General features: G+C 45.0%; 1 annotated feature.

The window, feature by feature from the left end:
• Positions 10,754–11,254: an enhancer, noted in NCBI's record as "H3K4me1 hESC enhancer chr22:47803821-47804321 (GRCh37/hg19 assembly coordinates)". NCBI's record gives its function as "activates a minimal SCP1, AML or CMV promoter by ChIP-STARR-seq in naive H9 embryonic stem cells {active_cell/tissue: H9 hESC(naive)}" and the evidence as "EXISTENCE:reporter gene assay evidence [ECO:0000049][PMID:30033119]".

Below are 13,786 nucleotides of genomic sequence, written 5' to 3'. Positions count from 1 at the left end.
TCCTCAATGTCCCACAGTGGATACACCAACAATTTAGAGCCAGTGCCCTGGTTCGTTGGAATCCAAATCCTGGCTTTCTGTTCAGTGGCAACTGGTGCAAACAATGCTTTCTTGGGGACATTTTTAAAAGAAACTAATGACCAGAGCTCTGGATGCTTTAGTTAAATATGTGCATTTTAAAAAGCTTTTCTCTGCCTGAATTTGCATAATGGTCCTTTCCCATGGGCCAAAGTTACCTTTTACTCAGTTTAATAGACTCACTCTTGCATTATTAACAACCATATGCAAAATGATGACCTCAGAAGGCTCCTTTCCCCCAAACATGCCTTTTTCCCTGATTAGCCACCTGTGACCTTTGTGGCCGAGCCAGCTTCCTAATGGAGCTGTGGCATTTCTTCTGTCCCAGTGTCTAAATGGAGCCTTGTTGCCTGATGAATACCCAAGGCTGGGAGAAAGAACCCTGAGTGAGGTAGAAATGACCTTCTTTTCTGAGCCTTGAGCACACACAAGCCCTTCTATCAAAATTTAGCAAAATGAGGCATCCTAGTTCATGTAATGGAAGACCTGAGGCTGGATAACCTATAAACAACAGAAATTTATATTTCACAACTCTGGAGGCTGGGAAGTCCAAGGTCAAGGTGCTGGCAGGCCATCTGGTGAGGGCTGCATCTTCTGGAAAGGAGGAACACTGCATCCTCACGTGGCGGAAAGTGGTAGGGACAGTGAATGCTGCATGAAGCTTTTTTTAGAAGGGCCTTAATCCGTTTCATGAGAGAGCAGCCCTCATGGCCTAATTACCTCTTAAAAGCCCTGCCTTCTCATACTATCACATGGCCAACACCTGAATTTTGGAAGAAACACATTCAAACAATAGCATTCTATCCCTCTCCCCCCACCAAATTCATATTCTCACATGCAAAATATAATCATTCCATCTCAATAGCCCTCAGAGTCTTAACTTATTCCAGCATCTACTTTAAAGCCTCAAGCCCAGAGTCTCATCTAGACATCACCTCAAGGAAAACTGCTCTCCAGCTGTGAACCTGTGAAATCAAACAAGTTATGTGCTTCTGAAATACAATGGTGTAGGGACAGGCATAGGATAAATATTTCCATCGCACAAGGAAGAAATAGGCAGGAAGTAAGGAATAATGGGGCTCAAGTAAATCCAAAACCAAACAAGGCAAACAACATTAAATCTTGAGGCTGGAGAATAATCTTTAACTCCCTGTCCCACTTTTTGGATGCACGGGGGTGGGAGTTGAACCCTGAAGGCCTCAGGCAGCCACACCCTCATGGCTTTGCTGGGCAAAGCCCATATAGCAGGCCTCACGGGTTGGTGTCAGGTGCTGGCAGCACTCCCAGGCTAGAGTTAGTTGCCTGCTGGTGGCTCCACAGGTCTGGGATCTTGTGGGCAACCCTGGCCCCATGGCTCCACTAAGCATTGCTTGAGTAGGGGCTCTCTGCAGCAGCCCTGACTCAACAGTTTGGTTGAACATTGCCCTGGTTGGGACTCTGTGGAGGCCATGCTGCCATAGCTCCTGCACTCTGCACACATACAGCATTAGTAGCATGTGGACACTGCCACCAGAAGCTTATAACTTCTGGAGCCATGGCCCTAGTGTACTTAGGTCCGCTTGAGCCATTGCTGAGCAGCTGAAGAGCAGGGAGCAGATGAGGTGTCCTTGCCTGGAAACTCTTCTGCCCTTAAGACCCTGGTATTAAGGGTATGGCAGCCTTGAAGCTCTCTGAAATGCCTTCAGGCATGGCATGGCAGCCTGACGGGCATGGTAGCCTTGAAGCTCTCTGAAATGCCTTCAGGGTCATTCTCCCATTGCCTTGATGAATAGCAGCACTTGGCTTCCTTTTCCTAATCTCCTTATCAAACAGTTGCTAGGCCACACCCTTGATTTTCTCTCCTAAACACACTTTTTATTCTTTACATGGGCAGGCTGAGAATTTTCCAAATTTTTGCATTCTGCTTCCCTTTTAACCATAAATTCAATTTTTAAATGATTTATCTTCTCACATTTTACTATAAGAAGTTAAGAGAAGCCATGCAGATTCCTGAACACTTTGCTGCTTAGAGATTTCTTCCATCAAATATCCTAGTTTGTTGCTTTTAAGTTTTGCCTTCCGCAGAGTCCTAAAACATGAACATAATTCAGCCAAGTTCTTTGTCACTTTATAATAAGAATGCCCTTTCTTCCCATTTCCAATAAGCTAGTCCTCATTTCCACCTAGGACCTCATCAGAATGACCTTTACTGTCATGATTACTACCAATATTCTGTTCACTACTATTTAAGTGGTCTCTAAGAAGAATGAAGCTTTCCTTATAGCTCTCCTATTCTTCTGAGCCCTCATCAGAATTGCCCTTAATGTTCTGTTCACAGTAATATAGACTTTTTCAGCAATGGCTTCAAAACTGTTCCAGCCTCTACCCATTACCAAGTTCCAAAGCCATTCCACAGTTTTAGTTATTTGTTATAGGAACACCCCACTCTTGGTAACAATTTCTGTCTCAGGTTGTTTGTGCTGCTATAACAGAATACCTGAGACTAGGCATTTTATAAGAAAAATTTGTTTCTCACCATTCCAGAGGCTGAGAAGTCCATGATCAAGGTGCTAGTAGGTTGTCTGGTGAGAGCTGCATCTTCTGGAGGGAAATAACTCTGTGTTCCTCACATGGCAGAAAGTGGAAGAGAAAATGTCTGAATGCTGTATGAGCCATTTTTTATAAAGGCCTTAATCTCACTCATCACAAAGGAGAAGCCCTCACAGCCTCATCACCTCTTAGGGGCCCCACCCTGTGAAAATATCATATGGGCAACATCTAAGTTTTGGATGGGACATGTTTAAAGCATAGCATATGGCCATGTATTTTTTTTTCTATTTTGAAACAACTTCAAACTTAGAGAAAAAGCTGCAAAAAATAGTACCCTTCACTCGGAGACCCTATTCATGCCTCACCAGTTGTCCCAATGATGTTCCTTATGGCAAAAGGATCTAATTCAGGATGATGCACTGAGTTTCTTGTCTTCTTTAGTATCTTTCTCAGTTTCTCAGTTTTTCCTTGACTTTCATGTCTTTGGTATTTTTGAAGGTTCATTTGGGATTGTCTGATACTTCCTCCTGAGTGGGCCCAGGTTATGTATCTTTGGACAGAATACTCAGTATTCTGTGATATATGGTTGTCATTGCATCCCATCAGGTGTCATGAGAGGTTGATTTTTCCTATTATTAGTTATGTTAACTTTTGTCACTGTTCCAGTTAGCTATTGCTGTTCAACAAAACCATTTCAACACTTAACAGCATAAAACAACCATTTTATGATCATGATGGTTTCAATGTGTCAAGAATTCAGTAATGGCTGTGAGTTCAGATGCAGGATCACACGCATGGTTACAGTGAGATAGAGACTGGAACTGGTGGCTAGATGGTTTTCTCTTCTTAGTCTTAGGATCTCTCCCATGTAGATCAGTTTGGGCTTTCTTGTAGCATGTGGGAAAACATCTTCAGGTTTGCTGGCCTCCTTGCCTGGCAGCTGGCTTCCCTGGAGTCTATGTCCTAGGAAAATGAAGGGGAAGTGCCAGACATTTTTATGGCCTACCCTCTGGTGTTCCTTGCACCACACTCTATTGGTCCAGGTAGTCACACAGACCAATCCATGTTCAAAGGGAGGGTGAATATCTCACCACTGAATGGGTAATCTGTTGCATTATTTAATCTTGATAATGTCTGCCAGGTTTCTCTCCTATAAGGTTATTGGGTGTTTTGTTTGTTTGTTTGGCAAATTATAAGTATTCTGGGGGGAGATAACCATGAGAGCACAGGGAATGCTATTTCCTATCTCTCTTTCACCCATTCGTTTTGCCATCCTGTGATAATTCTTGCTTGAGTTGCTTGTTGCTATATAGGTTAATAAATAGTGATTTTATTTTAATTTTTTAATGTATATATATACATATATATATATATATATATATTTTTTTTTTTTTTTTTTTTTTGAGACAGAGTCTCCTTGTCGCCCAGGCTGGAGTGCAATGGTGAAATCTCGGCTCACTGCAATCTCCGCCCCCTGGGTTCAAGTGTTTCTCATGCCTCAGCGTCCCTAGTAGCTGGGATTACAGCCCACCACTGTGCCTGGCTAAGTTTTTGTATGTTTAGTAGAGACAGGGTTTCACCATGTTGGCCAGGCTGGTCTCAAACTGCTGAACTCAGGTGATCCACCTGCCTTGGCCTCCCAAAGTGCTGGAATTGCAGGCGTGAGCTACACCATGCCTGGCCCGATAGTGATTTTCTAATTTTATCATTTCTTTTATATTTATTATTTGACATCTTTCTATAAGGAATAAATTTCTCAGCTATTTATTTATTTATATAAATAAGTTTCTCTGCTATTTATTTATATAAATTTATCTATTTATATAAATTTATCTGCTATTTATATAAATAAAATTCTCTGCTATTTATTTATTTATTTATATCAGTATGGGCTCAGGGTTTGAGGTGTTATTCAAAGGACTCTAATAAACCACTATCACAATTTACTTTGATGCTCATATTGTCCCAAATCTGGCTGGTGGGAGATCCCTCAAGCTGACTTTTGTGTCTTTCTGCAAAAATAACAGCTTGCCTGAGTTCAAGACCAGCCTGGGCAGCACAGTGAGACCTCATCTCTTAAAAATGATTTAAAAAACCCCAGCTTGATTGAAGTAGGACCGAGTATTATGAAATAAAGCTACTGTGAATATCCATGTACAAGTCTCTGAAGGAGATAGGCTACATTATTTTTTGGCAAATAAGTACCTCGGAGTGGAATGACAGGATCCTTTGTCATTCAGTGACAGTACGGAAGGTGTGAGTTTACCATTTAAAAAACCAACAAAACTGTTTCCAAGAGTTTCTAGTTCTAGTTTCCATCAGTTCCAGTTTTTCCACATCATCCTCAGCATTTGGTAAGGTTATTCTTTTTTTTTTTTTTTTTTTTTGAGACAGGGTCTCACTCTGTTGTCCAGGCTGGAGTGCAGTGGTGTGATCACAGCTCACTGCAGCCTCAACCACCCAGGCCCAGGTGAGCCTCCCACTTCTGCCTCCTGAGTAGCTGGGACTACAGGTGCACGCCACCATGCCTGGCTAATTTTTGTATTTTTTGTAGAGATGGGGTTTCACCATGTTGCCCAGGCTGGTTTGGAACTCCTGGGTTCAAGTGATTTGCCCGCCTCGGCCTCCCAAAGTGCTGGGATTACAGGCGTGAACCACCATGCCTGCCTCAGTCTTTTAAATTTTGGCTATTTTAGTATGTATGCAGGAGGATCTTTTAGTTGTTAATTTGCATTTCCCTAATGACAGTGGTGCTGAGCACATTTGTACGTACTTTTCTTCTGTATAGCTTCTTTGTGAAGTATTTGTGGTTGAAGTTTTTGGCCTCTAAAAAAATTAGTTCATTTTCTTGATTTTTGATAGTTCTTCGTGGATTCCGGAGACATGTCTTTTGTCTGATATATGATTTGCAAATATTTTCTCCCAGTTCGTGGCTTGCCTTTTCATTCTCTTAATAGTGGATTCACAAAATCAGACATTTTAGTTTAACTTTTTTTAGATTATGCTTTTGGCTTCATGTCTAAGAACATTTAGCCTAACTCGGGGTCACAAACGTCTTCTTTGTTTTCTTCTAGAAGTTTTTCAATTTACAGCTGTGTATTGAATTAACCTTTTCTATCATGAGAGGTATGGATTGAAGTACATTTCTTTGCAATGCATATCCAGTTTTTCCAGCACCATTTGTGAAGAAGATTATCCCTTTGCATTGAATTGCTTTTACATCTTCGTAAAAAACCAATTGTTCACATATTTGTGTGTCTCTTCTAGATTCTCCATTCTGTTTCATGATAGATTTGTCCAACTTTATGCCAATACCACATTGTCTTATTTACCATAGCTTTATCCTAATTCTTGCAATCAGAAGATGCTAGTTGTCCTGCCATGTGATTCTTTTGTGAAGTTGTTGAGTTGTTCTAGTCTCTTGCATTTCCATAGGAATTTTAAAAGTAGTTTGTCAATGTCTACAAAAAATCTGCTGGAATATTTGATTGGTATTGTATATAATCTATGTGTCAATTTGGGAAGAATTGACATCTGAACAATATTGAGTCTTTCAATAAATGATCATGCTTTATCTCTCCATTTATTTATGTCTCCTTTAATTTCTTTCAGCAATGTTTTGTAGTTTTCAGTTTGTAGGTATTTCACATCTTTTGTCAGATTTACCTCGAAGTTTCTGATACTTTTTATACTATTGTAAACAGCATTTTTTTATTTCAAAATTTGATTGTTACTAATGTGCATACCTACAATCATCTTGAAACCTTGCTACACTCTCTAATTCTAGTAGGGTCATTTTTGGAGATTTCACTGGATTTTCTACAGAAGACAATCATGTTGTCTGTGTGTGAAGACAGTGTTATATCTTCCTATTCAACCTGGGGTACTATTTGTTTCTTTTCATTGGCTTATTTCATTAGCTAGTAAAAAGTTGAATAGAAGAGGTAAGAGCAGAAATATTGGTACTAATGGTATACTTAATGGGTATAAAATTCTGGACTGGCCATTTTTCTTTCAGTACTTTGAGGACATAGCTTCTTGTTTAGATTATTTCTGATGAGAAATTGCCAGCTTGCATCATTTGGGATAAGAAATTTGCTTTATATTACTTTTTGGTCCTTTGTGTAAAACATGTCTTTTTTTCCTCTGCCTGCTCTTAAGGTTTTTTCTTTATTACTGACTTTGAGAAAATTGATTATGGTGTGCCTTGGTGTTATTTAAAAAAAAATTTATTTTAGAGACAGGGTCTTGTTCTGCCATCCAAGCTAGAGTGAAGTAGCACGATTAAAACTCACTATAGCCTCGAGTTCCTGTGCTTGAGGGATCCTCCTGCCTCTGCCTCCTGAGTAGCTGGGACTACGGGTGCACACCACCACCCCAGCCTAATTTTTTAACTTTTTATAGAGATGGGGTCTTGCTATGTTGTCCAGGCTGGTCTCAAGCCCCTGGACTCAAGCAATCCTCCTGCCTCGGCCTCCCAAAGCCCTGGGATTACAGATAGGAGCCACTGTGCCTGGGCAGTTTTCTTCATCTCTCTTGTGCTTAGGGTTCACCGAGCTTCTTGGATCTGTGGGTTTACAGTTGCCATCACATTTGGAAGATTTCATCAAACATCTTTTCTTTCTCTTTGTCCCACATAATCCTCTTCTCCTTCAGGGACTCAAATTATGCCTATATGAGGTTGCTTGAAGCTGTTTCATAGCTCACTGATGCTCTGTTCATTTTTAAATTATTTTTTCCTCTGTGTTTTATTTTGGATAGCTTCCATTGCCATGTCTTCATGCTTACTCACTTTTCCTTCTACCTTTAATCTCACCCACTATTGTTTCCTCTCAAGTGATGTAGTTTTCATCTCTAGATGTTCAATTTGGGAACTTTATGTTTTTCATCTTCCATGAACATATGTAATTATCTTCTTGAACATATGGAATGCAGTTACAGTAACTCTTTCAATGTTTTTCTCTCTAATTCTAATATCTGTGTCGTTTTGAGTGTTAGTTTTGGCTGTTTAGCTCCTCATCCTGGGTCATATTTTCCCAGTTCTTTGCACACCTGGTAATTTTTGGTTGAATGCCAAGCATTGTGGATTTTACCTTGTTTGATGCTGAATATTTTGTATTCCTAGAAATGTTCTTGCGCTTTCTTTTTTTTTTTTTTTTCTGGGATGCAGTTAAGTTACTTGAAACAGCCTGAACCTTTCAAGTCTTGCTTTTAAGATTTGTTAGCTGGGAATCAGAATAGTGCTTGGTCCAGAGCTAATTATCCTCCACTAGTGAGCTAAGAGCCTTCTGCGTATTAACCCCATGTGTGGTGAAAAACGAGTTTTCCCAGCTGGGCTGGTGGGACGGGCACTCTTCATGGTTCTGCGTGTGCACAGGTCATGGTCACCTTTAATCCCCTTGGTGCCTCTTTCCCTGGCCTCTGACTGTGTCCTCCTATTCACAGGCCGATGCTGATCCAACCAGGTAGTCCGGGGCCCCTGCAGGTATCTGCAATGCTCTCTGGGCAGCTCTCTCCTCTCTGTCGCTCTTCCAGTGAACACCAGCCACCCTTGGTTCCCCAGACTCTGCGCTGTCTCCTCAATTCAGGAGCCCACTGGGCTGTGACTGGGCTCCTCCTCCCTGAACTGTGGCCTGGCAACTCTCTGACCTGTAAGCTGGAGCAATCCCAGGGCCTCCTCATCTGTTTCCCATTGCTCGGGATCACTCTCTTGTTGGCCAATGTCAAGCGTTCTACAAAGCATTGTTTCACATATTTTGTCATTTAAAAAATTGTTTTATGCCACCCACCTCTAATGCAAACCCCCGGTTACTCCATCCCATAGATGGAGGCTTTCTTTCAGAGACTATGTAAGCAAACTTCCCTGGCACCTTCCCACCCTTCAAGCTGCCCATCACTGCCACCCCAACATGCACACCCCATCCCCTAGACAGGAAGCCTCCATGTATAAATTCAGTCCCTGGAGACAGAGTTCTTTTATGTGTCTTTCTGACATGTTCCCATCATTCACTGAGTAATTGCTTTCTGACCCATCCAGCCTCATCTTGTTCTTTCCCTGCCTCAGCCCCGGAATTAACTATTTCTCCAAGGAGCCCTGGTATTGCTAGTGGAAAATGGCAATCGGATACAATGTGGGCAATGTGTGTGCTTATTTTTGCTGAGATGTCACTGTTGTCAGAACTTCTTGGTGAGAAAAGTTTGGAGATACCTGTATGCATGGACACACACACATTTACCTGTGTATTTGTTTGCATGTCTGTAGATTGAAAACCATGAGCTCACATCATTACCTGCAACTCCTACCCAACACCTGAGACCAGGTGCAACTTTCCTCTTTCCGTATTTGCACTTCCTGTCTGTGCTTCCGTGTGAAATTTATAGCATTGCCTTAAAACAGGGCAGCGGACATCAAATTACCTGCCGTGGTATTTGAATCCTTCGGCTAGATCTGGTGTGTGTCCTGACCTTGCATCAGGTAGGAAAGGCAGCCATTGGCTGCAGGGAGGGGGGCATTCAGAGGCAGTGGGTCCAGGCTGGAGTCGAGGCTGCTGCTGCGTGAACCTAGGACAGGCGACTGGCTGAGTGTCAGTTTCCTCATCCACAAAGCAGAGATAACAACAGTAGTTCTGATTGCATCAGGGCGCCCCTGTGAGGGCAGCGGGCAGCTGTGAAGCTTGAAAGGGCTGGTGTGGGCGGCTGCTGTTGCTGCTGTCAGCGGGGAGGATGACCTTGAGTGAGGGCCACAGCTTGGGGCATCACAACTCAGGGGGGTCAAACATGAGAATGGAGGAGGGATAATCTCCTATTAAGAGCTCAGTGACACCCTGGCTCAGAATAATCCCAAGGAGGAGGAAGACGCAGATAAGGAGCACTGGTTCCTCTGTGTGTTTATCTTATAGGCACCCCTTGCCTGTCCACTCTGCTCCAGGCCCTGTGCTGGTCCTGAGGACATGACCCTGCTCATCATGGAGGCTTCCTGTCTAGGGGGTGGGGCATGCGTGTTGGGGTGGCAGTGACGGGCAGGTTGCAGGGTGGAAAGGTTCCAGGGAGCTTTGCTTACATAGGTTCTGAAAGAAAGCCTCCGTTGGTGGGATGGAATAACCAGGGGCTTGCATTTGGGGTGGCAGTGGGTGGAGAGAGCAGTAAAGATTCGGCCCATGCTGACCTTGCCACATCTGGCCATGGGACAGTCACCTGCTTCTGTGAGTCTCAATTTACTATCTATAAAATGCTGGCAATTTGGGGGAGGGGAAGGCTCAGCTCAGGGGAGGGAGGCTGGACCCGCTGGGCTATGGAGGGCTTTCCGCCTCTAACATTGTGTGTCTAGTAGAGTGCCTGGCATATCTGATGAATTATAAGCAGACAGGGAGGGTCTGCAGGTGTTTCAGGAAAAGGTCCTGATCCAGACCCCAAGGGAGGGTTCTTGGATCTCACATAAGAAAGAATTCAGGGCGAGTCTGAAGTGCAAAGTGAAAGCAAGTTGATTAAGAAAGTAGAGGAATAAATAATGGCTACTCCATAGAGCAGACCCAAGGGCTGCTGGTTGCCCATTTTTATGGTTATTTTTTGATGATATGCTAAACAACAGGTGAATCATTCATACCTCCCCTTTTTAGACCATATGGGGTAACTTCCAGATGTTGCCATGGCATGTGTAAACTGTCATGGTGCTGGTGGGAGTGTAGCAGTGAGGACAATGACAGGTCACTTTTGTGGCCATTTTGGTTTTGGTGGGTTTTAGCTGGCTCCTTTACTGCAAACTGTTTTATCAGCAAGGTCTTTATGACCTGTATTTTGTGCTGACCTCCTATCTCATCCTGTGACTTAGAATGCCTTCACCACCTGGGAATGCAGCCCAGGAGGTTTCAGCCTCATTTTATCCAGCTCCTGTTAAGATAGAGTTGCTCTGGTTCACATGCCTCTGACACCGGCACCATAGGAATTTAATCCACTGGAGCAATCTGCCTGCTCTACAGCCTTCTGCTTTGCAGCCCATTTCTTCCCAGACCCTGCATGGAATGCGGTCACCTACTCAGTTGGAAGCAGCTCCTGAGAGATGTAGGCAACTTGCAGACAAACTCGAGGGAACCTTGCTCATGGCCATGCCAACGTCTCCACCTGGCGGGGGCTGCAGCATCATAACCACCACATAGGACCTGTGTGCTGGCAGGAGGACTGGCTGCATCTGTGCCACTGGGACCCCTCCTCTGAATGCCGTACCACACTCTGTCCCCTCCATCGCCCCATAAAACCCTCCTGTCACTGTCCCTCCAGGAGACACTGCTGTGGAGAACACACCTAGGGCTCTCCTTCCTTGCTATGAGTTAACAAAGTGCCTGTTGATTAAAACCTGCATCCTTGTGGAGTCATTTGTTACTCAGCAGGTGAAAAAACCCTCATTTTTTCAGACAACAGAAAGAGTGAATAAATGAATGAGTGAATAAATGAGTGAGTGAATGATAGAGCCTGGAGGCCCTGATCCCAGCCAATCATCCCTTTGGTTGCACTGGCCCCTCCCTTTGCCAATTCCCAGCACCTGATTCCTGCCAGTAACCCCCCACTCAGATGGACAGCACAGCTGTCCACACTGCAGGGAGCACCCCAGCCCAATGGCGATGGCCTGCCCTCTTCCCAGTGCATCATAGCTGCAAAGTTCCCTGCTACCATTGATGGAGGAGGCTCACTGCATGTCAGAGGCTCTTCTGAGCTCTCCCCATTTTTAGGATCTCACTGCCTCATCCTTACAGCTTTAGGAAGTAGCACCATTTTCATTCCCAATTCTAGGACAGGGAAACTGAGGTACACAGAGGCTAACTTGCTGGCAAGTGTCAGAGTCAAGGGCAGGGATCCTGGGCTCCCAGGATTGTCCTGATTGGGCAGGGACGGGGCGAGTAAGAACTGAGCTCCTGCAAGAGGATAATCAGTACTCAAACCCTCAGAGTGGAAGCTTTGCAGCCACTGGAGGGGCGGGCAGGAGCTCAAAGAGGATCATGAACCCTTTAGAAATGTAAAGCGCTGTAAATATTAACAACAAGCAGCCTGCTTTCATAATCTCCCATTTTCCATTGTGTTGCAAATTCTTGTACATTTTCTTGCTCTCTGAGAAACATGAAGGCAGCTTGTTTAATAAGCATACTATTAGCAAGTTATCAAGTATTTGATTGCATTTTCCAGAAAGCACCTCAGTGGCTGGGGGATCATTTCACATCTGCCTTTTCTACTCACACTCAGCATTTCTTGCCTCACGGCCGGCACTCCTCAATGTAAAATTGTCTGTGTATGGCGGTTGAGGGAAATTATTTTTTAAAGGGAGGAAAAGAGTATCCGGTTTACAGATGTCTTGTGTAGTGCACGAAGCAAGAATGACTCTTCCTGGCCCAGAGTGTGGACAGGTTTAGCAGGCGTCAACAGAATGCTGGAGTGGGTGTCAGATGGAGGCAACTTCTTCATAAAAGTTCTCGGTAGAACTCATGCAGTTAGCGGCTGTTGCATTGAATTCGGGGCACTGCATCCTCCTCCTTCCCTTACAGGGCACGAGGGTGGCCAGGGTATAACAGTGGCCAGGGTGTGACGGTGGCCAGGGTGTGACGGTGGCCAGGGTATAACAGTGGCCAGGGCGTGGCGGTGGCCAGAGTGTGACGGTGGCCAGGGTGTGACAGTGGCCAGGGTGTGATGGTGGCCAGGGTGTGAGGGTTGAGAACAAGGAGTTCTCACCCTTTCCGGAGTAACCTGGGGGCACCGAATGGCCTCTCCTTGCCTGGATACACCATACTCTTAGTGCTGTTTGGTGCAGCAGTAAGTGTCAGCTGTTTAATGACTGAAGAATGACGAGGTTCATACATTTGGCAAGGAGAATTGTATCTCTTCTAAGGGCTTGCAGCCTGCAGGCAGCCATTCTGAAAGGCTGGGAAGCATAGCCTCTGTCCAGAAGCTGGAAACAGGCACTTTGAGGATTAAAAGAATAAGACAGGGATTTATGTTGACCAAGGTGGTCAAATATACATATTCAATGAGCTACAGGAGGAGTCATGAATATTGATGAGAATAGAAACACGCATATGTGCAATTGCACTTCATGCCCCATCGCAAGTCACATGTGCACAAAGTGATGATGTTAGCGTGATCCGAGGGTGGAGTTTTCGGCCACTGACACGTAAAAGGGAAGCAGAGGACACGGAAACCCGCACTGCACACCCTCCATAGACCAGCCAGAGCCACCCCGTGGTTGTCAGTCTCTTTGAAAGGAACGCTGGCTGGTTGTTTTGGGGCAGCGTCAGGAGGTTGGTTCATATCAGGGGTGGAGTCTTTCAAAGGGGCTGGCTTCTGCTTGGCCCTTAGTGAAGGAAGTCTAGTGGCAGTCAGCAAAGGAGAGGTTAAAACAGGGTGTGTCCCACCTCTCCCATCATGGCCAAGAGCTTGGCTGCTGAGGTTCCTCTGGGGTCCCCTTGGTCAAGAGGGGGGTCTGTGCAGTCAGTGAGGGGAGGGTCTTAGACTTATTATTTGTCACATAGCCAGGCGGAATAGTGTTGTACAAAATAGCATCAGAAACCATCAGAAACCTCGGGATTTGCGCTTGGAAATATTTGAGATATAATTAGTTTAGTTCAAGATCTTGAGATGAAATCATCCCAGATTTAGGGTGGACTGTAAATCCAATGACTGATGTCCTGCTAAGAAGAAGAGAAGACACCAAGAAGCAGAGGGAGGAGGCCATGCAGGGACAGAGTGGGGAGGCCTCATAAGACACCAGGGACACTGTCACATCCTGGCCACCCTCAAACCCTGGCCACCGTCACACCTTGGCCACCGTCGTCACACCCTGGCCACCGTCACACCCTGGCCACCCTCACACCCTGGCCACCGTCACACTCTGGCCACTATCATGCTCTGGCCACTGTCACACTGTGGCCACTGTCATGCCCTGGCCAACGTTATGCCCTGGCCAACCTAATAACCTGGCCACTGTCACGCCCTGGCCACCCTCAAACCCTGGCCACCATCACACCCTGGCCATCCTCACGCCCTGGCCACCCTCACACCCTGGCCACCGTCGTCACACCCTGGCCACTGTCACACCCTGGCCACCCTCACACCCTGGCCACCGTCACACCCTGGCCACTATCATGCTCTGGCCACTGTCACACCGTGGCCACTGTCATGCCCTGGCCAACGTTATGCC

Source organism: Homo sapiens, chromosome 22 (assembly GCF_000001405.40).
Source record: "Homo sapiens chromosome 22, GRCh38.p14 Primary Assembly".
Taxonomy (NCBI): Eukaryota; Metazoa; Chordata; class Mammalia; order Primates; family Hominidae; genus Homo; species Homo sapiens.
This window is presented reverse-complemented; position numbering and strand designations above follow the sequence as displayed.